At 41.0% G+C, this 22,070-nt stretch overlaps 1 protein-coding gene across 17 annotated transcripts in view, besides 2 other annotated features; it reads right to left on the minus strand.

Annotated features, from left to right (window-relative positions):
* Positions 1 to 22,070, minus strand: part of KIF16B (kinesin family member 16B) — a 301,345-nt gene that overhangs the window by 201,184 nt on the left and 78,091 nt on the right. For all 17 annotated transcript variants that reach the window (XM_047440266.1, XM_047440264.1, NM_001199865.2 and 14 more), the window contains exon 12: positions 21,004 to 21,063. In XM_047440266.1, coding sequence (XP_047296222.1) covers positions 21,004 to 21,063 — 60 coding nt within the window. The remainder of the gene's footprint in view (positions 1 to 21,003; positions 21,064 to 22,070) is intronic.
* Positions 2,667 to 2,902: a silencer, noted in NCBI's record as "fragment chr20:16456599-16456834 (GRCh37/hg19 assembly coordinates)". NCBI's record gives its function as "represses an EF-1alpha promoter that drives an FKBP-Casp9 reporter gene in an ReSE screen in HepG2 liver carcinoma cells and K562 erythroleukemia cells {active_cell/tissue: HepG2 | K562}" and the evidence as "EXISTENCE:reporter gene assay evidence [ECO:0000049][PMID:32094911]".
* Positions 6,437 to 6,731: a silencer, noted in NCBI's record as "tiled region #3089; K562 Repressive non-DNase unmatched - State 24:Quies". NCBI's record gives its function as "represses a minimal TATA promoter and a strong SV40 promoter by Sharpr-MPRA in K562 cells {active_cell/tissue: K562}" and the evidence as "EXISTENCE:reporter gene assay evidence [ECO:0000049][PMID:27701403]".

Here is a 22,070-nt window from a genome sequence, read left to right on the forward strand (position 1 = left end):
CCTGCTAAATTTTGCTTAATGTGATGTTTCCCAGACTTATTTGAGAAAGGATTTCTTTTTCTCTCCCTTTACAGAACCATATTAATACTAAAACAGTCCCTCAACAAACATTTCCCAAGGGTCTGCTGTGTGACAGGCACTGAACTAAGGGACTGGAACTAGAATCTGGGGAGGATACATATTAAACATAAAATTGCAAGTTATTAAATGAATGTTAGTACCCCATGGAAGAGATCGCAGGGACTAGAGTAGACACTTTGAGAAATGCTAGTATAGGAAGGACGCTGGACCAGGAGCCAGAAAACTATATTCCCACCTCAACTTGGACCCTAACTCCCTATGTAATCCCAAAGATCACTAAGTAAGGAATGCAGTGTGTGCAGACCTCGGATTCTCCCAACTATGATATGACAAGGTAGGATAAGATCAGCTCTAAGACTCCATCCATTTTGAATTCATTCTGTGTCATTAATTCAATGTGAAATGAGAGAAACGAATAAGAAATTTCAATACAGTACTTAGACACTTCAAAAGAAATACTGATGGCTCAGATAATGAAACTAAACTGGAAAAATGTCTTCAGAATAAATGTCCAGAATGTAAATGAGCTCTGAGTATTTTTCCCGAAGCAATAATGAAGCAGTAAGAACTTTAATGGGGAAATTAAGCTCTGACATGATCTAATCCACGCTCTTTTTCCAGCCTTGGCATCTCCTTCCTCCCTCCCTGCTGCTCCAAGCTCACTCAGTGTTCCCAAAAGCTCCACCTCCTCAGGTAATAGAGTTTTCTGAACTCAGGCCATCAGAAAGTCCTTCTTGCCCAATGCAGGACTCTTAACATCTATGTGTTTCCATGGCTACCCTCCGGGTCAACTCTCTCTGAACCCCTCCTGACATCCTTGCTGTCACCTTCCAAAATATCTAACCTGTTGACCACGCCCCCCTTTGTGACCCCACCAATCCTAACACTGGCCTTCAGCAGGCCTTGGCACTTACTAGCTGTGTCAAGTTTCTTACCCGCTCCAGCCTCTGTTTCCTAACATAGAATAACGAATTTGTACATTGCAGGATTTTTATGCAATTCCAATGTACATAAACATGTGAAGTGCTTAGGGCAGTGCTTGGCACATAGCAAGCGCTTATGCTCAGGATAGCCTCCTGCTTTCCCTTCCTTCCTTATGAACAGAAAGTTAGTTTTATTGAGGACAGCAATATACTCAGCTGAAGAAACAACTTCCTAGCCTTCCTTGCAAGCAAGAAGCATCATGTGGCATAGGTCTGCTATGAAATATAAATAGAAGTTGCTGAGCGGGGCTTAAAAGAGGAGTAAACTCAACTAACATATACTCCTTTGCCCTTCCCCATTTTTCCTGACAAATTTTAGATGTGATGATGTGGTCACAAAAATGTCTCAAAACCATAAGGGAGAGACCAAGAGAATTACATAGACCTCAGCTCTGGCAACTATGTACCACTAAACCCAGGCCACCAGCAGTCAGCCTAGTTCTGTAGTTTTTGGTGAGGGAAAAACAGAGACAACTTCTAACTGCCTTAGGATATGTTTTCTCAGGTTGCTCTTGCAGCCAAATGCACTCCCTGATCCAGTTAACTCTTATTAATTAGCACCTGCAACAATTTATTTCATTATCTGTTTATGTTTGGTTTCTCTACCAGACAAAAAGAGTCTTATTCATTTTCACACAACACCTCTCACCAAGCAAGTGTTCGATAAAAGTTAAATGAATGAATGAAGTGACAATAATGACCATCATAGTTTGTCTCCAGTTCTTTCACAAGAGAAAAACATTACTCTTAAGTTTCAGAAATATTTTTCTTCATCTCGAACTGAATATTCTTCAAAGAATTTAGCATTTGTAAAAGTTCCCATAGAGTGCCTGAACCTAAAGTTATTTAACAAGCACTGACATAAGAGTATTTAGTGTGCCAGGCACTGCTTTCAAAGCTTTCACAAAGAACTCATTTTATTCTCATAACAACCCGATGAGTTAGGTACTATTATCCCCATTTTACCCATCAGGAAGCTGAAGTGCAGGGAGGTTAAGTCACCCAAGGTCATACAGCCAGCAACCAGCAGAGCCAGCACTGGATTACATAGAATTTGGTTCCAGAGTTCATGTCCTTAACTGATATTCTCCACCACTTCTCAACCACTAACTGTGACAGTACATTCTTTCTGTTTCTGTGTAAACAAGGAAGGAGCTGGGAGAAATTCGATCTGAATATCTATGAAGATTCTTGGCTCCACAGATCAGCCGGGAACCAACGCAGAGGTTACTTGGCTAGAGTGGACGTTACCAAATGTACAACGAAGGATGACAGAAATAATTGTACAAGGAATTGTACATTTTAATTCTCTTAAGAACTTCCACAGTTGAAGATGAGGAAAATGAGAGGTAAAAGAAGAAATGATATTACAAGAAAAGTCTTTTAAGTGGCAAATACAAGTAAATGACACAAAAAGCTTTCTAATAGCAAGCTAATCAAAATGACTACCTAAGACCCAATTTTCAAAAACCTTTTAGCTGTAAGATATTACCCTGGTACTCTGCTCTTGAAGCAAGATTAGAAAAATTATTTAAAAGAACTCCAGAAATGTGAAGATGCATTTTCATCTTTCTGCAGCAATTCTCAAACTAGCTACAAGAAGACATTCCAGCTGAATGATTACTTATACTAAATTCTGCACAATTTATCTCTCACACAGATTCTGCATCCAGTAATTATCAGCAACCAGGCCCAATTCCATGGTATTGACAGTGGTATCTGTCACGTCTTCAGACAACTCCACTACCAAGGGCCCTGCAACAAATACAAACAGGCAGAGCGTGTTTTCCTATCTACAGTGACATCTAGTGTTAAGAAACTAAAACGCAGTCTGTAGAACAACATTTATTCCCATTACTATTGTATTTAAATGCATATTATAAAACAGGAATATATATATAGCTCTTAAGGTAAACAGCTTTTCCCATAATTGGGATTGCCAATTGTCAATTGTATTATACTCCAATATTTAAAATATCTCATAAGATTAACCCATTGAAAAGACACATTTGTTTTGTTAAAGTGAAGAAATCATTTTGTTCTCCAATAGTTTTGTTTTAAATGCAAACATATCTTTACTTACTAACAGCAGACTGGAATGTCAGAGGATTTTGCAGACATTAAAAGACATCTTGTTAAATTTAACAAAAAGCAATCTGGCTTAATATAATAATAAATACAAGCCCTTTATTCAAAATCAACTCGCAAAATCTCTAAAGGAGAACAATTTAAATGCAAATGAGCCCATTATAGAATGGTTTCTGATTTAGGTATATCATGGGCTAAATCTTGTCTCCAAATTTTACATCTTAAAATTAGATTCTAAAAGATGCAGGATAGCCATATTCCCCTCACCAAAGTGAAGTATCATTCCGGTTATGACAACAAAGGTGTTTGAATATCTTTTTTATTTATTTACTTTTTTTGAGACAGAGTCTCGCTCTGTCGCCAGGCTGGAATGCAGTGGCTCAATCTCGGCTGACTGCAACCTCCGCCTCCCAGGTTCAAGTGATCCTCCTGCCTCAGCCTCCCGAGTAGCTGGGACTACAGGCGCGTGCCACCACACCATGTATTTTTAGTAGAGATGGGGTTTCACCATGTTGGCTAGGATGGTCTCGATCTCCTGACCTCATAATCCGCCCGCCTCAGCCTCCCAAAGTGCTGGGATTACAGGCGTGAGCCACTGCGCCGGGCCTGGATACCGTTTTTAAAGGTAAATAAGGCATAATTAAAGAGCACTGGATTAGAAATGAGAAAACAGAATCTAGCCCTGGGTCTACCTAAAAAATTCTGAGACCAAGTTATTTAATTTCTCTTGCCTTCAATTTCCTTGTGGGTTTTTTTTTTTTCTCTCCTTAAAAAAAAAAAAAGGTGGGGAAGACAGTGAGGAGTTTAGCCTGGATTCCTTCCTGGGCTCCTTGTTCTAACATTCTATGTTCTATGAAGATGATGATCTCTAAGATCTCTCTAAACCTTGCTTTAGTTATTTAAGCCACACAGTGCCACAGTACTCTGAGGAGAACAGTGTTAAGACACCTTAAGACTCAAACAACAAACAAGGTTTGCATTGAAATCGGCATAGAGTAAAAGACCTCTTTAAGATGTTTAGATGATGACTCCTGACCTGAATCAAAGATGTACTAAATCACATCCACTATGACTCTGCACTTCCTAAACCAGCAAGTATCATCTAAAGTCTCTTAATAAAGACGTTCAGAAATCATGTTATTTAAGGGGGTTTATTGCTAAACCAAGATAGTCATAAACATTCTGGGTAAGTGAGGATTTGCCAACAGAGTAAGTTTTAGGTCTTTGTTTAGGTTACAGGGAATGTTTGCTGAAAAGTTTTCTAAGATGAAGAAAGAACTCTAAATAATTCAAAATATGCCTGGCGTTTTCTACTATAATTATGGTTATTACTCTCTTACTTGGCAGGAAGAACTTTGACCTGGCTGAAGAGAAACAGCTATGGCTTAGAGGTAACAGCTACAAAGAGATAAAAGGGGGAGGAAGCAGAGCAGCAGAATGAGTAGTCAAACTCAACAAGGAAGAGAGAAAGGAAATGAAGCAAGCAGAACCCAAAAGACTCACCACAGCTGGGATGGCTCCAGACCACGGCAATGGAATACCCCGAGGACCTCAGAAGGTACCGATGGGCATCTGCGACAAGTGGTGACTGTGTGAGTGACAGCTCTCCAAGATGACTGGGATGGCAAGTTTATGCAAAACTGAAGTGGAGTGAACAGGAGAGAGCTGGAGGAGTGCCCAGAGGCTGAGGATATTAAATACTGGGACAATTCACCTGATGACAAGGGTCAGAGGGCAAATCATTTGAAAATGATGCAAATTAAAACTAACAGAAAATTTTTTCCATACCTTCAGGAAATTCAAAATAGAACCATAACGTGATACAACTAGATACCCACTAGAGTGCATAACATGAAAAGGACAAAAAACAGTGAATGTCATGAGGATGTAGACCAACCGGGCTGCAGGGCAGGTGGGAATGCAAATGGTATGACCACGTTGGAAAACTATTTTCAGTATCTACTAAAGCTAAACATGTAATAGTCCCCCTTTATCCACGGCTTTACTTTCCAAGGTTTCAGTTACCCACCATTAACTGTGGTCCAAAAATATTAAATGGAAAATTCTAGGCAGAAACAATTCAAAAGTTTAAAATTCATACTGTTCTCAGTCGCATGATGAACTCTCTCACCTTCTCGCCCAGGACACAAATCACCCTTCTTCCAGCATATCCATGCTGTATTTCCCCCCAGACTATTAGTAGACAGTTACCAGATCAACAGGTGTACCATTTGTATTCAAGTCACCCTTATTTTAATTGTTCATGGCCCCAAAGCACAAGAGTAATGATGCAGGTATATTGTTATAATTGTTTAACTATCAGCTATTGTTGTTAATCTCTTACTGTGCCTAATTTATAAATGAAGCATTATCATATGTTTATGCATAGTATACATAGGGCTCAGTACTATCCAAGGATTCAGGCATTCACTAGGGGTCTTGAAATGTATCCCCTGTGGATAAGGGGGGACTATTGTACACCTACTCAATAACCCAGCAATTCTACTTCCAAGTATACACCTAACAGAAACATGTGCATACATTCACCAAAGACATGTCTAAGAAGATTCATGGCAGCACGATTTCTAACAGCCCAAAACAGAAAACGAGTACAATGAATAAACTATGGTATAGCCACATTGTGTTATACAACTATGTACAAAGACATAAGTAGATCTCATAAACATAATATGGAACAAATATGGTACACATACACCATGGAATACTATGCAGCCATAAAAAGGAGCAACATCAGGTCCTTTGCAGGGACATGGATGGAGCTGGAAGCCATTATTCTCAACAAACTAATGCAGGAACAGAAAACCAAATACTGCATGTTCTCACTTACAAGTGGGAGTTGAACAATGTGAATATAAAGAAGACACAGGGAGTGGAACAACACACGCTGGGGACTGGAGGCGGCGGATGGGGCAGGGGGAGGGAGAGCATCAGGAAAAATAGCTACCGAATGCGGGGCTTAATACCTAGGTGATGGGTTGATAGGTGCAGCCAATCACCACAGCAGATGTTTACCTATGTAACAAACCTGCATGTCCTGCACATGTACCTCAGAACTTTAAAAAAAAATTAATATTGAATAAATAAGGCCAAACAAAAAAATATACAGTTGTGCACTACATAACGTTTCAGTCAGCAATGGACCACACATGCAATGGTGGTACCATAAGATTATAGTAACCCCGTATTTTTACTGTACCTTTCCTATGTTTAGATACATAAATACTTACCATTGTGTGCCAACTGCCTACAGTGTTCAATAGAGTAACATGCTCTACAGGTTTGTAGCCTAGGAGCAATAGGCCATACCATATAGCCTAGGTGTATAGCAGGCCATACCATCTAGGTCTGTGTAAGTCACTCTATGATGTTTGCACAATGAGAAAGTTGCCTAATGACACGTTTCTTAGAACACATCATTGACACCAAGCCACATGTGACTGTGCTCTGTACATTCCATGTGGATAAAGTTCAAAGCAGACTAAACAACACTAAGCTTTCAGACCTCAGGCTAGACGTCTCCCTTGGAGGGAGGAGGAGTACTGCCAGAAGGGGACATGGCAGGGACTCCTTCGGGGCTAATAATGTGTTTTTCTTCACCTGGTTGCTGGAGGTATGGGTGTGCTTAGTTCCTGAAAATCTGCCAAGCAGTACTCATGATTTGCATAATATTCTGTATAGATGTAATATATAATGCCCAGATAGAGGCTGGGCTCCAAGGGCATATTCAAAAAGGAAGAGTATTCCAAAACAAAAACCCAGAAACAAGGGACAAAAAGAAAGCCCTCATTGAAGACCTTTCATAACAGAGAAACACAGCAGGGTCCTCGCACCCAAGACATGGGCCCTCTATACAGCCTCCTAAGGAAGAATCCGAGTCTTTCTTAGACAGAAGAAATCCTCAAGAGTTCACCTAGATCAGCCTACCCACTTGTGATTGAAAAAACTGAGACCAAGAGAGAGAATATAACTTAGTCAAAGTCACACAACTAGTAAGTGATAGGTCCAAGGGCAAAATCCAGGTCACCTCAGTAAACAAGACTTAAATAATGATAAAATACTCAAGATATGTCAAAAGAATAAATTAAGTGAAAACTCAGAATGAGTAGGAACTCAAAAAAGGACAAGGCTTTTGTGTATTTCATTCAAATGAGATAAGCAGTGAAGAGGTGACACAATGCACAGAACAACCGCAGAGAGGAGGAAAGAGCTAGGAAGCTGGCAATGTCTACACATCTTAATCTGGGTGTGGGTTAGATGGGGGTACACAGAAGTAAAAATTCATGAGCTGCATATACCATCTCTTCACACTTTGTGTATGTTAAATCTCAATCAAAAACCAATTCAAATAGTTTTTTTTTAATTCTGTGAACAAATAACTGCATTTAACAAAATGAATCTATTCAGTTAAAATTTCTTTTCAAATGGCATCACCCAGTGTCTCCAAATGCTTGTATGAGTGTACAACTTGGGGGCTGCAAAACATTCCAAGTTATATGAACCATTTGATTCTATGAACCTACAACCATGCAATAAACATGGAGAGATGTGTTTGAAGGGATGATCTTCCACATGCTTTAGGGCTGTGCTTTCCAACTCTTCTGAGGCTCAGGACACTTTCGTCAAAAATAGAGATTTGGGGGTATCACTCCTATTCATTCTCCTTTCACGTGTCTGCGGTAGGCTGAGAAAACTGTCTTTTTAAAAAGATCCCCAGTGATTCTGAGTGGAAACCACTTCTGTATGGAAGTGGTTTCAAGACAGGTTCTCACTCTGTCGCCCTGGCTGGAGTACAGTGAGCAATCACAGCTCGCTGCAGTCTCAACCTTCCAGGCTCAAGCAGTCCTCCTGCCTCAGCCTCCCAAGTAGCTGGGACTACAGGCGTATGCCACCTGTCTGGTTAATTTTTTTTCTGTAGAGACAGGGTCTCTCTATGTTGCCCAGGCTGGTCTCAAACTCCTGGCCTCAAGCAATCCTCCTACCTCAGCCTCCCAAAGTGCTGGGATTAAAGGCGTGAGCTACCACACCTGTCCAAAAGTCAACTTCTGAGGTGGAGAATAACTGCTATATGTGGTTTTGGATGAGAAATAGGACTTAGCAACCTAAAGAAGTGTCACGTCAAATTCTGTTGCTTGACTTCCATCAAATCTGCTGGGAATGCCAGCACACTTTCACTCTAATTACGAGAACAAAAAAGGCTTAAATGTATAATGTACTGGACCTAGAGGAAAATGACCATCTTTTGTGATGTCTGTGTGGCTAAATTCTTTCAGGGAGAATTCAGAGCTATTTGGAACCAACTCCTCTCATCCATTTGACAAAGACAACTTAGGAAGGCTGGTTTTAGCTGGAAAAGTTTCACATCAAAGAGGACAGGTTCAGAGTAAACAAAATTAATAAGGAAAAAATGGATGACATTACTGTAATGCTGACTGTGTGCTAGACACCACTGTCAGCACTTTGCCTGTCCTCGTTTCTCACTTTGTATGATAGGTACGATTACTGTCTGCATCTTACAGTGAGGTTCTGGGGAACAGAAAGTGACCTGTGACCATGGTCAGAAAGATGACAATGCTGGATCCAGAATAACAAAGGTGACATGTAAAGTACGAGATAAGATGTGAGAAGTGTATAGTCATCTTCCTCCTTGGAAATATCAGAATATCCTGGTAATAGACATCCACATGCAACTTAGGCCCTTATTCTTTTGTCAGTAGATGCCCATTTGCTAATTATGCTGATTAGCATAATCTGATCCTTACAGATACAAACTTCTTAATACCACCACTTCTGCTTGGAGCTCTGCTGCCTGGAGTTAAGAGAAACTGCTGTCATCCTTAAATAATGCAAAGGCAAAATCAACCAGGATGCTAAGGAAAAAGTAATCTCTGAAAACTGGCTGTTGTGATACAAACGGAGGGCAAGTCCAACCTGCCGCTCCTAGTAACTGTTGCTAGGTAGGCTGGGATGGAAAACAGCAAGCTAAAGAGGTCAATGAGAAATTGAGCCAAATTCAAAACTACCTATGAAAGACTGAAGAGAACACACCCGCATTTGGAGCTCATTTTAAATCATGTAATCAATCTAAAGGAGAAAAGGAAAATGACTTTAAATACACAGAATTTGTTGTGTGCCATTCTTCAGTTCTAACACCAGAAAACAGAGGGCTCTCCTGTAATGGAATGTTCACACCACAGTACAGATATTCAGCTGCTTTTATGTAATTTTTCACCTCAATACAGGATTCCTGAGTCATAAATATTTTCTCTTAAGAAGTAAAAGAATGCCTCAACTCATGTGCATCTCCTGTTTGCCTTGAATATATATGACACTATAGTAAGTGTCCAAGTTCTATATTTATGGTAGGAAATGTGAATGGTGTCACCCTGATTCACCTGCTCCCCCAACCCCAGCTCACAGAAGCTGTGGTGAATGAGCTTGACCTCACTCCAAAGGGCTCCAGAGGTGGCCCTTGATTCATCTCAATCAATCAGGGTAACCTATCCCTTATCACACTGATTGGTTTAGATAACCTAGACCTAAGCCAGTCAGCATACAGTGTCTCCTTGGCCCCAGAGACTGGTTCAGAAATGCACCATTCAATGGAGAGCTCAAAAAGTTGTTGGGAACTCAGGAATGCACACTCCTTGAATTTGGGTAATGCGTTAGGGAGATATGAATCTGTAATTGCTGCTCTCCCTTTGCATTCTGAGGGTAGACAGCCTGAGGAGTAAGTCAGTACACCAAAAAGTAGAACCAAGGAGAATCCTGGTGAGCCAGAGCCCTGATCAAACCATGCCTAAACTCCATCCCACCATCACTCTTCTGTGAGCTAATAAACCCCTGTACCATATAATCCAGTTTGGAATTGGGTTTTCTGTTATTCAATGTAAATAAACAAACAGAAAATTGTAGCTACCTGATAAAATACGTCTAAGTAACACCAGCTTGTATCTGTATAAAACTACATACCTTAAAAAGTTTCCATATACATAATTTCATTTCTTTTCTGCCCAGCTGAGAAGATAGGTATTACTGGTAACCCAGTTTTACATCAAAAAGGATAGATTCAGAGTAAACAAAATTAATAAGAGAAAATGGAACACATGCTGTAATGCTCACAGTGCTGACCATGTGCTGGACACTGCCCTCAGCCTCTGTGTGTTTCCTTTCTCCCCTTATATAACAGGAACTACTATTGTTGGCATCTTGCAGTGAGGTTCTGAGAAACAGAAAGTGAGTGGTGACCAACGTCAGAAAAATCATAAATTATTGATCCAGAGTAACACACAGGCAAAAGTCACTAGTCTAGGCAAGGAGAAAACCATCTCCTTGCTCCCTGGCTCACTATTGCTCCACCAACCACCCCCTCCTCTCCAAGCTCACAAGACGTAGAAATCCTCCAAGGTGAGTTAAATGTGTTCCTGGGTGACATAAACAATCAACTTATCTATGTCATGAAATTGTGTTTTTTTAAGCTTCTTAGCCAACTAAACCAAGTTCCTACAATGCAGCATCCGCTGAGTACAAGTGTACATAAAGCACACTTCCATATGACCAATCTTTTCCTCTCTGACCGTAGCAATAAATACGCAGTCAGAGCCCATCAGCGCACATGCCTCGCCGCAAAAGATCAGAAGGAAAATCCCTTATGCATTCAAGATAATTTATGGCATGGCACCAACATTTAACATGGTGCACATGAATTATTTCTGAGCCTTTTTGCTCCAGAAATGTTATTCAAAAGTAAGAACCAGCATATACTTGGAATACCTTTATTTATGAGCAGCCCCTTCAAGATGAGAACTGCAATGGAAAATATGGTAGGTTTGGCATCAGTAACAACATCAGAGCTGGTTATGGGAATAGCTCAGCTCAGCCTCTGACCCTGCCAAGTGCAATAGCACTGACAGTCATCTCCCCCTGTTAATTATCAAGTCCCAGTTGCAGAGAACAATGAACTTTCTTTATTACTTTGCCTTTCATCTTAAAATACAGTTGCAAGAGCAGAACTTTAGAAAAGGAAGAACACAGTTTGACAGAAATTAGCAGCCAGAGTCTAACTTTAATGAGAGGTTGACAAATTAACAACTGCATACTATATAAAGTACAGTAACGTATTTTTTCTCTTGTTTTAAGAACAAGGAAGAGCCAATGAGATAGTATATGTAAATGCATTAGAAAAAGATAAAAGGCTTTGCGTGTGATGGTACTGGTGGTGGCTTTTGTTCAAACCGACTCAAAATCATCCACGCTAGTCTGCAAATTAAAGCAGAGAGACAAATGATATCTCAAAATCCTCTCTCAAGTCATCTTCATTGCAACCCCTGATCCCAAATCCTTCTTCCTTTCAATACTCTCTTCTATAGGAAGACAGGAACATACACTCATACATACACAGTTGCAAACCACTGGGGCTAGCAGAAGGCAAAGGGGCAAGTAAAATAGAGAAAAAAGGATGCTCGTGGCAGATTTTTTTGCAAAAAATGACAAGAATTATTGATCTGCCTGTACTCATTCCTTTGGGTATTCCCCACTCCTACACTGTGGTTGTACCCATGACTACCTTTAGCCAATGAGGCATTAGCAAATGAGATGCAACTGAAAGCCTGAAAAATGCTTGGACACTGGGGTTATCCTTTCTTGCCATTCTTAGGATCCAGAGACCACCATGTAAAGGCCTAAACTGATGGGGATGAGGGACACAAGACCAAATCATCCCCAGCTGACATCAAGCCAACCACCAGCCATGTGAGTCCATCTTGGACCATTCAACTCCAGGGCATGAGTGAAGGCAGGAGAAATCCACCAAACCAGGCTGGTCCACAAAATTAAGAGAAATAATCACAGTCTGTTTAAGCCACTAGGTTTTAAGGCAGTTTGTTCTATAGAAAAAAACCTCAAACTTGACCTGAAACTTCTCAAAAATGGGAGAACAAGCTGAGTTCAATAATTATTCATGGAACACTTCCTATTTATAAAGAGCTACTGCACAAGACACTAGAATTTTTAAGAGATTCGAAGATGAGCAAAATGTTTTCCCTGACCTAAAGGAATTTATAATTTAACTGAGAGAATGACAAACATATGGATAGTTACAACACATGAAGGATCAAATATCATCCCCTCCCATCTCCAGGAACAGCTGTCATTCCATGTATGAACTCATTCCTCCAAACAACTTCTGCAGTAATGTACAGCCACACTGGGCCTTTAAAACCAACCATTCAGTGTTCAGACCTACTGAGCAATAAACAAAAGAGACAGAAACTGTGTCCTCATGGACTTTATATCCTAATGGATGTCAATTTACAAAATACTTTCTATATTGCAAGGGCTTTTCAAAGTGCTTTAAGTGTATGTGTGCAGACATGCACGTGTATATAAGCATGTCTCCACACATACACACATATATATACACATATATATACACACATATATATACATATATATGTGTATATAAATTCACTTAGCATAAGTTATCTTTGTAAGTAAATTTAACTAATAATAGAACTGAAAAAAATCTTATTTATTTTATATAATCTCAAGCTTCAAATATCAGAGATTCTGGGAGCAGAACTCTGATATTGCTTTATCAACAAAAGTATTTTAGGCCCGTTTTGTTAGAAATCAGAGGACGAGACTAGATGAGACTATGGGAGCTTTACAGAAGAATACCCAATTGTGGGGAAAAGTCTTCTAGCACTTCTAGAATGTAATCTCCATGAGAGCAGGGATTCTTTGTTTTGCTCACTGGGTATACCTTGTGTCCAGAACTAGGTCTACCACATAAGATGCTCTCAATAAACATGTGCTTAATGAAGGAGGGAGAAAGGAAGGGAGGGATAAAGGGAGGGAAGCTGGGAAAGAAATTCTATTATGGGGAGAATATTTTCAAACTCATAGTAATGCTAGGAATTTCCTTCTGAACATAGGTAGCAATCCTAGTTAATTGGAACGTTAGCATGTCAAAGGATGCCCACCACCTCTCATCTCTTCTTCGCCCAAAAGTTTTCAAAAGTTTGAAAATAGTTTTTTAAAATTACAAAAATAAATCTTACAGGAAATTTACTGAGATCCTACAGGCATGACCTACACATGGACTGCACTAATCCACAGGAGCTGAACTATACGGACTCGATTTTTACAATGAAAACCAAAGGGGAAAGAGCACTGACTTCTCAAATTACCACTGCAGCCAATTTCTGCCTGGATGAACACTTGGAAACTCAATATATTATCGTCACATAGCCAAATGAGCTCTCGAGTCAGTACTTTCTATCTTTAGAATGGCGATAACTAACTATAAACAATATGTGTGATTATCTGAGGTCAGAAGCATCAAATGCCCAAAGAGTTGCTGGTAAGGAAGCTGGTAACCCATGGCTGAAAGAAATGTCTCCTCCTTCATCTAAAATCTAGGAGAAATCGATGACCATAAATAAAATTATCCCCCAGATCTACTCCTAGGTTCAACGTTTGTACCAAGAAGAGGTCAAGATTAACTGCATTTAGGCCAGGCACCATGGCTCACACCTATAATCTCAGCAGTTTGGGAGGCTGAGGTGGGTGGATCACAGGGTCAGGAGATTGAGATCATCTTGGCTAACACGGTGAAACCCCATCTCTACTAAAAATACAAAAAATTAGCTGGGCGTGGTGGTGGGTGCCTGTATTCCCAGCTACTTGGGAGGCTGAGGCAGGAGAATGGCATGAATCCGGAGGCGGAGCTTGCAGTGAGCCAAGATCGCGCCACTGCACTCCAGCCTGGGTGACAGATCGAGACTCCATCTCAAAAAAAAAAAGATTAACTGCATTTAAACGAGAGAGGCCACAAAAAATGTTGTCTCTCCCATGCTTTGTCTGTAGGTTTTCCAGAAACCAGAGGATTCAGTGCCCTGGACAACAGGAATCCAGAGGACCGCAGGAAACTTGTTCCACAAACCTGACCCGCCTACAAGCCTGCTGAGCAACAGCCCCAGTTACGAGAGCTGCTTCCGAATCCATTACACTCCCAATACACATCTTCTCCACAAAATGGAAAACTGCAGGCAGCCAGAGAAAAAAATCTTTTATAGGTTGCCATAATGTTCTGGAGACAAAAAGTTCAGTGGATTGATTCTATTATAAAACAGATATAAGCTGGTTGAAAGCATGCCTCCCCATGAAATTTAAACTCAGAACATCTTAAGCCGGAAAAGAATCCCAATTTCATTTTACTATATTTCTTGTTAGTCAAAACATTTTGAAAGGGTTACAAGTTATCTTTCATCATTGTGCTATCCACCCCTGCCATGGCCCTGTAGTATCCTGCCTCTCCTACTCCCCCAGAGAAGGAATATCAAGACGCCAGCTCAATTTAAACTTCAGTCATTTACATTAGGATCCCATCATCACATGGATTCAAATATGCTCCATCCTCCAAATTCAGTTTTCGACAAACATTAATTGTTAAGTGTGTAAGACACCAAATAATTCCACATAATTAAAGTCTAAATAAAACAACTTCAATCCAACTTATACAAATTGCTCACTTTCCAAGGAAAAGCCTCTCCAGCTAGGCATCTGCATGTGAGCGCCTGCTTCTCCTCTCCCACCCGCTGCCACACCACAGTCAAAAGCCCTGTGCAGGCAATGAAAACACCAAAGCCAGCCGGACATTGGAGCCATCAAAGGATACGTTTTCAGCAAAAACAAAAGGGACCTTATTGATTAAAAAATGAGAAGAATAACCAATGCTGGAAGGATTCAAACAGCACCCTCAGGGCTGCGAGGACCACTTTGCAGCTCTGCTCTGGACAGACACTCACAGAGGCAGCTCTCCCTTCTGCCGCACCATCTGTCAAAGGGCTGCCAGCTTGGCGCTGCAGTCCAAACTGTCTGTGCGTTATTTTGAAGCACAGAGCTCAAGGAGTTATTTGGAAGCCAGATGACATACCTTGAGCATTTTTCTTTAATTGTTCATAAAACGCTGGAACAGAGAAACCAAAACGTATGCAGGACAGATAAACCCAAAAGGGCATAAAGACTGGGGTGGGGAAGGAGAACACAGGAATGGAGAAAAAACTGGGGATTCCTCCTCTTAAAGGATCACTTCAAAAAAATCATTAGCAATAAAACATAGGGGACTTGTAAAAGCCAAGCCTACAGGTACACAGGGCAGGGGGATTGAGTAGTCACTTTGTAAACCACTTCAAACACCAGGCAGTCAGCACAATATTGTAGCCACGCAAAAGGGAAACCGATATGAAGGGTCTCAAGAATCCATTGATGTCAAGGCTGGATTTATCACAACACTAACTTCCCAGTTCCAAGAGAATCACTGCAGTTTGAGATAAATTTAGCCAGGATGAAAATCACACTGAGGCAGCATTCTAACAAAGAGACCAGAAAAACCCAAGAAGAGAGCTTCCTATGTGAATGGAGCAGATTCTGAAGTGCTGGCAGTGCAGTCCAGAGCCTGCATGTGGAACACACTTGGGTATCAAATGTATCAGACAAAGCCTAACCACGAAACAGAAACTGTTTCAGTATTTAAATCCAAGGGACTTTAATACAAAGAATTGGTTACTTAGCTGAAGGAACAGCTGGAAAGCCATTAGGAACAGTAAGGCCACCCACAAACTGGCAACAGCAGAGACCAGCATCACCCTAGGCAGGAGGGGCAAAGGCATGAGGGAGTATTTCCCGAGGGCAAGGCTATGTCACCTGGCAGAACTGCTACCACAATGGGCTGGTCCTTGCTGCAGGAGCTGGGGCCTTGGAGAAGAGGTACCTGCTGCTGGGGATGCTAGGCGAGGCTGAAGGGGGAGGGCCTGGTTTCTCTCTCCAATCTCCACAGGGATCCAGGAGCCCAGAAAAGGGCGGCCCACAGGGGTCAGCCCACGAGACAGGGCAGAACAGGAGAAGGAGAAGAACAGATATGAGGACAAGGAAGCCTAAGACTACTCTGCATTTCCTCAGTGTGTCTAAATCAACACTGTCACCCCAGCACTTTGGGAGGCCAAGGCAGGAGAATTGCTTGAGCCCAGGAATTCAAGACCAGCCTGGCCAATGTGGTAAAACCCCATCTTTATAAAAAATACAAAACTTAGTCAGGCATGGTGGCACATGCCTGTAATCCCAGCTACCTGGGAGGCTGAGGTGGGAGGATCACTTTAGCCCAGGAAGTTGAGACTGCAGTGAGCCAAGATCGCACCACTGCACTCCAGCCTGGGTGACAGAGTAAAATCCTGTCTCAAAAAAAAAAAAAAAATTCAGCACTCAAACTTGAAGGTACAGACCCGTCCCCTGGGGATCTTATAAAATACGGATTCTGATCCAGGAGGTCTGGAGCTGGGCTTGAGGGCCTGCGTTTCTAACCAGCTCCCCGGTGATGTTGATGCTGCTATCCATGCTATGCTCTAAACAGCAAGGATCTAACGGATCCAAATGAAGGACTGAGCTGTACTTCAGCCATATTCCCTCCGAGAATAAAAATGCACAATCATACAAGAGCCTTTCTAGTGGGAATGAGAAAGTAAGAAGAAAAACATAGCGAAGAGCATCACTGGGACAGGACCGCCGCCTGCACAACACTCCCTGTCACTCTGCCCACTAGGTCATCAGATTTGTATGGCTCAGGGCTGTTGTTATAGGCTGGATTACGACACCCTAAAATTCATGTTGAAGCCTTAACCCCTAGTACCTCAGAATGTGACCGTATTTGGAGACAGAGCCTTTCATTAAGTTAAAATTAATTAATTAAGGGGATTAAAATGAGGTTATTAGGATGGGTCCTAATCCAATCTGACTGGTGTCCTTATAAGAAGAGGGCATGGTGGCTCACGCCTGCAACACTTTGGAGGCTGAGGCAGGTGGATCACCTGAGATCAGGAGTTCGAGAACAGCCTGGACAACATGGTGAAACCCCATCTCTACTAAAAAGACAAAAAATAGCCAGGCATGGTGGTGGACACCTGTAATCCCAGCTACTCAGGAGGCTGAGGTATGAGAATCGCTTGAAACTGGGAGGTAGAGGTTGCAGTGAGCCGAAATCACACCATTGCACTCCAGCCTGGGCAACAAAAGCACAACTCCATCTCAAAAATAAAATTTAGAAAAACACACAAAAAAGAAGAGGAACCTAGGATACACACAGGGAGACCAAGTTGCAGGCACAAAAAACAAGGCCATATGAAGACACAGACAAGAGAGGACCATCTGCAAGCCAAGGATGGGGGCCTCAGGAGAAGTTAATCTGCCAGCACCTTGATCTTGGACTTCCAGCCTCCAGAATTGTGAGCAAATAAAAGTCTGTTTTTTAAGCCATCCAGTCTGTGGTATTTTGTTTTGGCAGCCCTAGCAGATTAATACAAAGGTTTTTATTTTTGTTTCTTGATACTAACCTAATCCCATACATTCTCACCGCATGCCTGCTCTGTGAGAAGCAGAGTGCTAGGAGCTGGCTCGCGGAATGATAATGAGACAGTCCTTGGCCAGATCCTGCTCCTGTTTTTCTGTGTGTAAGAGTTGGCAGAAAGAGGAAGAAACCAATACCACCTAACTCAGAGGACAAAGAATCCTGTGGCAGAAGCAAAACCAAATACTGCAGAAGCACAAAGGAAAAGAAAATTCATCCTAACTGGGAAGTAGGGGAGAAGAGGAGTGATCGGGGGAGGCGGGCTTCAAGATGGATTTTGCTAGAGGAACGGAAAGGGGACACATCCTGAATGAAGGAGTAACACAGGCAAAGACCACAAGACACCAGGAAACCCAAAGCCCCGGTGCACACACCAACCAGCAGCAGGGCCTCTGGCAGGGCGGGGACTCCAGGGGTGGTGGGCACAGAAAGAACTGTGCTAGGACAGATGATACCGACAAGGAGATTAGTGCCTGTAGGGGCCAGGCAAAGAAGTCTGGACTTTAGAAAATGAAAAGTAATAAAAATGAGGAAGGCAGACTAAGGGGCAAGAGAGTGGAGACATAGAGTACAGTACAGAGGATAATAAAACTCTCTCTCATTACCTAACTGTCTAAGACCTGCCTCATTAAGATAAACACATGTTCTACTGTCAACTACTTTCAAAATAACTCAGAACTTAATGATGTCTTCCTCTGTTAACTTGGATATAAGGAAGAGGTTGCCATCCGCTGTGATTTCCAAGCTGGGAAGTAGGGTACGTGGCAGTTATGGATGAGTGCCATGACCCAGTGAGTCAGAAAGAGAACTGAAGACTAACATCCAAGTTCTGAGTTCTGCAGATCAAAGCCCAAGGCTCCAGCCACGATGACCATGTTGCCACCAGCTCTGCTGCAGTCAGTGCCTGCTGTCAGAGCTCACACCCACCCCACAGTCTTTCACTTCCCCTCCACCTTCATTCAACAGGACCGTGGATTCCACTCACGCAGGGCAAGGGAAGCCACCGACTAGGTAGAGAAAGAAGGGAACAAAGTCACTCCCTGCTTTTGAGTATCCAAGAGCTTAGGATCTGGTGATTTCCAGGGAAATTTAAGGAACTTTCAAGAGCAATTCTGACTTCAATGGACCTTCTCCCCACCCACTGACTTCAGCCTCCTGCCCACCATGAGAGGGGGTTTGTACAGCCACTCCTCAGGATATATGCCAATAAACCAACCTCATGGCTCATAACTCAAACAGGGAATATGAGCACACAGCTCAGGAAACTGCCACTGAGTTGGGGTGGGTTTTATGCGCATTACTGGAACAATGACTGACTGATGTAAAACGCTAACAGCAGAAATACGGGAAAGGATACAGATACAAACCCATCAACTAACAATCAATTTCTAAAGAATGTCTTCATAAAAACATTTGAGTAGCTCTCCTCTTCACCTTAGTCTTCAGGCACTGTCTTCCAATAAGAGTTTAAGGCAGCCCTTAAAATATCAAACACGAGCAGAAAATGACTACAGGTTTAAAGCACAAATACTAGCAGAAAAGTCTAAAACAGGCTTATAAGATCGAGAAAGGGAAAAACATTGAAATAGCATTCTCCTTTCTCATAAAGTTTAACACCTAGCATGCATCACATTTTTCCCTTCTCCTATGAAAAGTCATAAAAAAGAAAATAGTTAGACTTATTTTTTAAAAAAGCATTGGAATTGGAGGAGAATTTAACTTCAGGACCCAAAATCACCTTCTGAGAAAAAGCATAAGAAAAAGTTCAGGCTGTCATAGTTCTCGGTGTGGATACCCTTTACAGAAACATTATAAAAGCCCTACTACATTGACATGGAGGGACGCTGCCGCAGCAGCAGAAGAGACGGAGCTTCCATCTTTTCACCTCTTGCAGCATTGCCTCCTGTGCTAATGGGCACTATGTATACTAAGGACTTTTCAAATAGCTAACGGTTTGATTTCTTTTTTTTTCCTTAAGTAAAGTAGATTTTAGTCCTCCCTCTTTGACAAATTTCCAGAGCAACATTACATGGTGCATGAAAAGTCAAATGACTTGGGCTTCAGGGGCTGAGGCACCAACACCTCTTACAGGGAATGCAACTTAAACAACAACAAAGTCACATATTTGGTGAACTTATTCCACATCTGACTATTCTGAAATATGAACGAAGTATTTGCTCAGTTTCCTGCACAAAAATCTCTCAACAAAGAAAATACTGCAGAAGTACCTCAAAATAATATGACATTATCATTGTAATCAGGAGAAGAGAAAAGTCTGAATGCAGAAACCCTCACTTGTTGCAGTACATAAGAAGCTGGAAAGGCCATCTCTAGGACCATCACAACCTACCACCATCTAAACTTAAGCACAACCTCTGATCTCATGAGATACAATCTTTCTAACACCTGGTCAAGCCAAGTTGCCTAAATGGTGCAAGGAGAACATTACATAATATAATGCTGAGCCTGCATTCTGAAACAGTTGTCAGATGCAGAACTCACCTGCAAATCCAAGGCTGCAGAAGTTTACCCTGTGAAACAGTAATTAGGTGTGCCATTCTCACATGAAGGTGATCCACCTTAGGATTCTGCCAAGACATTCTGCCAAGACTCATCTATCTGGTCTCATCAATATCAGATGGAGATTTTTGTTCTTTGGGAAAGTTTTACCTCAACAGATGTCAAAAACAAACCTCACATTGAATAGCCTCTGAATTCTTTTCTCTTGTGCACAAAGTCAGCCAGATACCATCAAAGCACAAAACTCAAATTTGTGTCTCAAACCTGGTATGGCTGACTCTCAACAGATGACAGAGGTTGTCTGCCAACTCAGCAAAAAATGAGAACAAAAAGAAACTTGTATTTTGAAGCATTATGATAAATGGAGGCTACTGCTGACATCTTTTCACAGCAAGTCTTGCCAGAAACACAGGCCATCCCAGTCTAGTCCTTGAGACATGCAGAAAAATATTTTGATAGGAAATTACTAGCTTTGAAATTTCTGAAATCTAGCCGTGCTTTGCAAGCATATTCTATAATATTGCCACGGGAAATATTTTTTTCATTTAATATGTTGCTTTGATATTGGCTTTAACAAAAGCAGAAAAACAAAGTGAATATCCTTGAATATTAAATAGAGTTCTAATATGTGCTGAGTCAAAAATGGAAAAACCCCTAAAAGTAAAGGCAAACATCTTAAATATCAATATAACCTGTACATATTAAAACACACAGCTATAATATCTAATAGCCTTCTTTCTCACTCTTCAAAATCAAACCAGAACTCCCATCCCATGAAAGTCACTAATTGGTTCCAGTGATCTTACCTTAACAAAGTATACAACTGCCATGTTTGGAGATTAAAAAAAAAAAAAAAAGTTTTACCAGTTTAATCCACCATAGTAAGACTAAACACATTTTTCTAGTCCTTACTTTCAAAATATTTTGGGTTTCATTCCACTTATTTGTCCATTCCTTGGTCAATTCTTGAACCTGAAAAGAAAAATATACATACGTGACTGCTTCATAAAGAAAGTTTATAATTTTCTTCTAGTTTCCGAACTCTAATATCTCATGGAAAGATGTACTATAATTTTTTAAATGAGATCGCGACTTTTACCCCTGAAAGAACCATCACCAAAGATAAATCAAACAAGCTGATTTATTCCTACAACCTACATTAGGGCAAAGGAAAGAACAGACAGAAATTTGTCAATTTGCCTAGAATTTCACAACTGCCTTTTTCATGGTGTACTTAAAGCAGCTCCCTTGGATTATTAACCAAAATTACAAGTTTGAAGATGACAACGTCCCATTAAATGGATTAATTTTTCATTATTATACATCAGGTCCTAAAAAATAGTGATTTATTTTTATTTCTAATTAGATGTGATTAAATCACCTTGGATGCTGTAGTTTTACTTTAGGAGATAATTTGCTTTTGTAGCTAATTAACAGGGCTTATAAACCTCATTCTATCTTTTTTTGTTGTTGATAAAAAAAGAAAAAAAGGTGGTTCTTTAAACGACTCTTAGTAAAAGCAAAAATCTTTTGACAAAAATCACTTCTTTCCAGTTGGCTCTAACTTAGGGGAGTAAACACGCTCAACCGCTGAACACAGCACAGTTGGAAATTGCTTCTCAAAGTTAATGGTAATGTTTTGTTAGTTCCCTAAAACTTTTTAAATGATCCTAGGATTCAACAGGAAACAAAAAGTGATATTTGAGAGGTAGAAAAAATATGAATGAAAAATGCGTTCTGTGGAAAGGAAGAGCCAAGGTCTATAGGAGAGTAGCTTCAGAAAGGGGAGAACTCATCCTTTCCAAGCCTTTTCCTTTCAGCACCTTTATCATTCCTGCCACCTCCTCACTCCCAGCAGCAGACACCCTCCCATTAAAGTTACCTGGTCTCCCCAGTAAGTTTCCCTATTTAATCAGGCCAAAATAAATGCACAGAATACATCTGCCTGTACTCTCACTGCTAAGATAAACTGATTTTCT

Source organism: Homo sapiens, chromosome 20 (genome assembly GCF_000001405.40).
Source record: "Homo sapiens chromosome 20, GRCh38.p14 Primary Assembly".
Taxonomy (NCBI): Eukaryota; Metazoa; Chordata; class Mammalia; order Primates; family Hominidae; genus Homo; species Homo sapiens.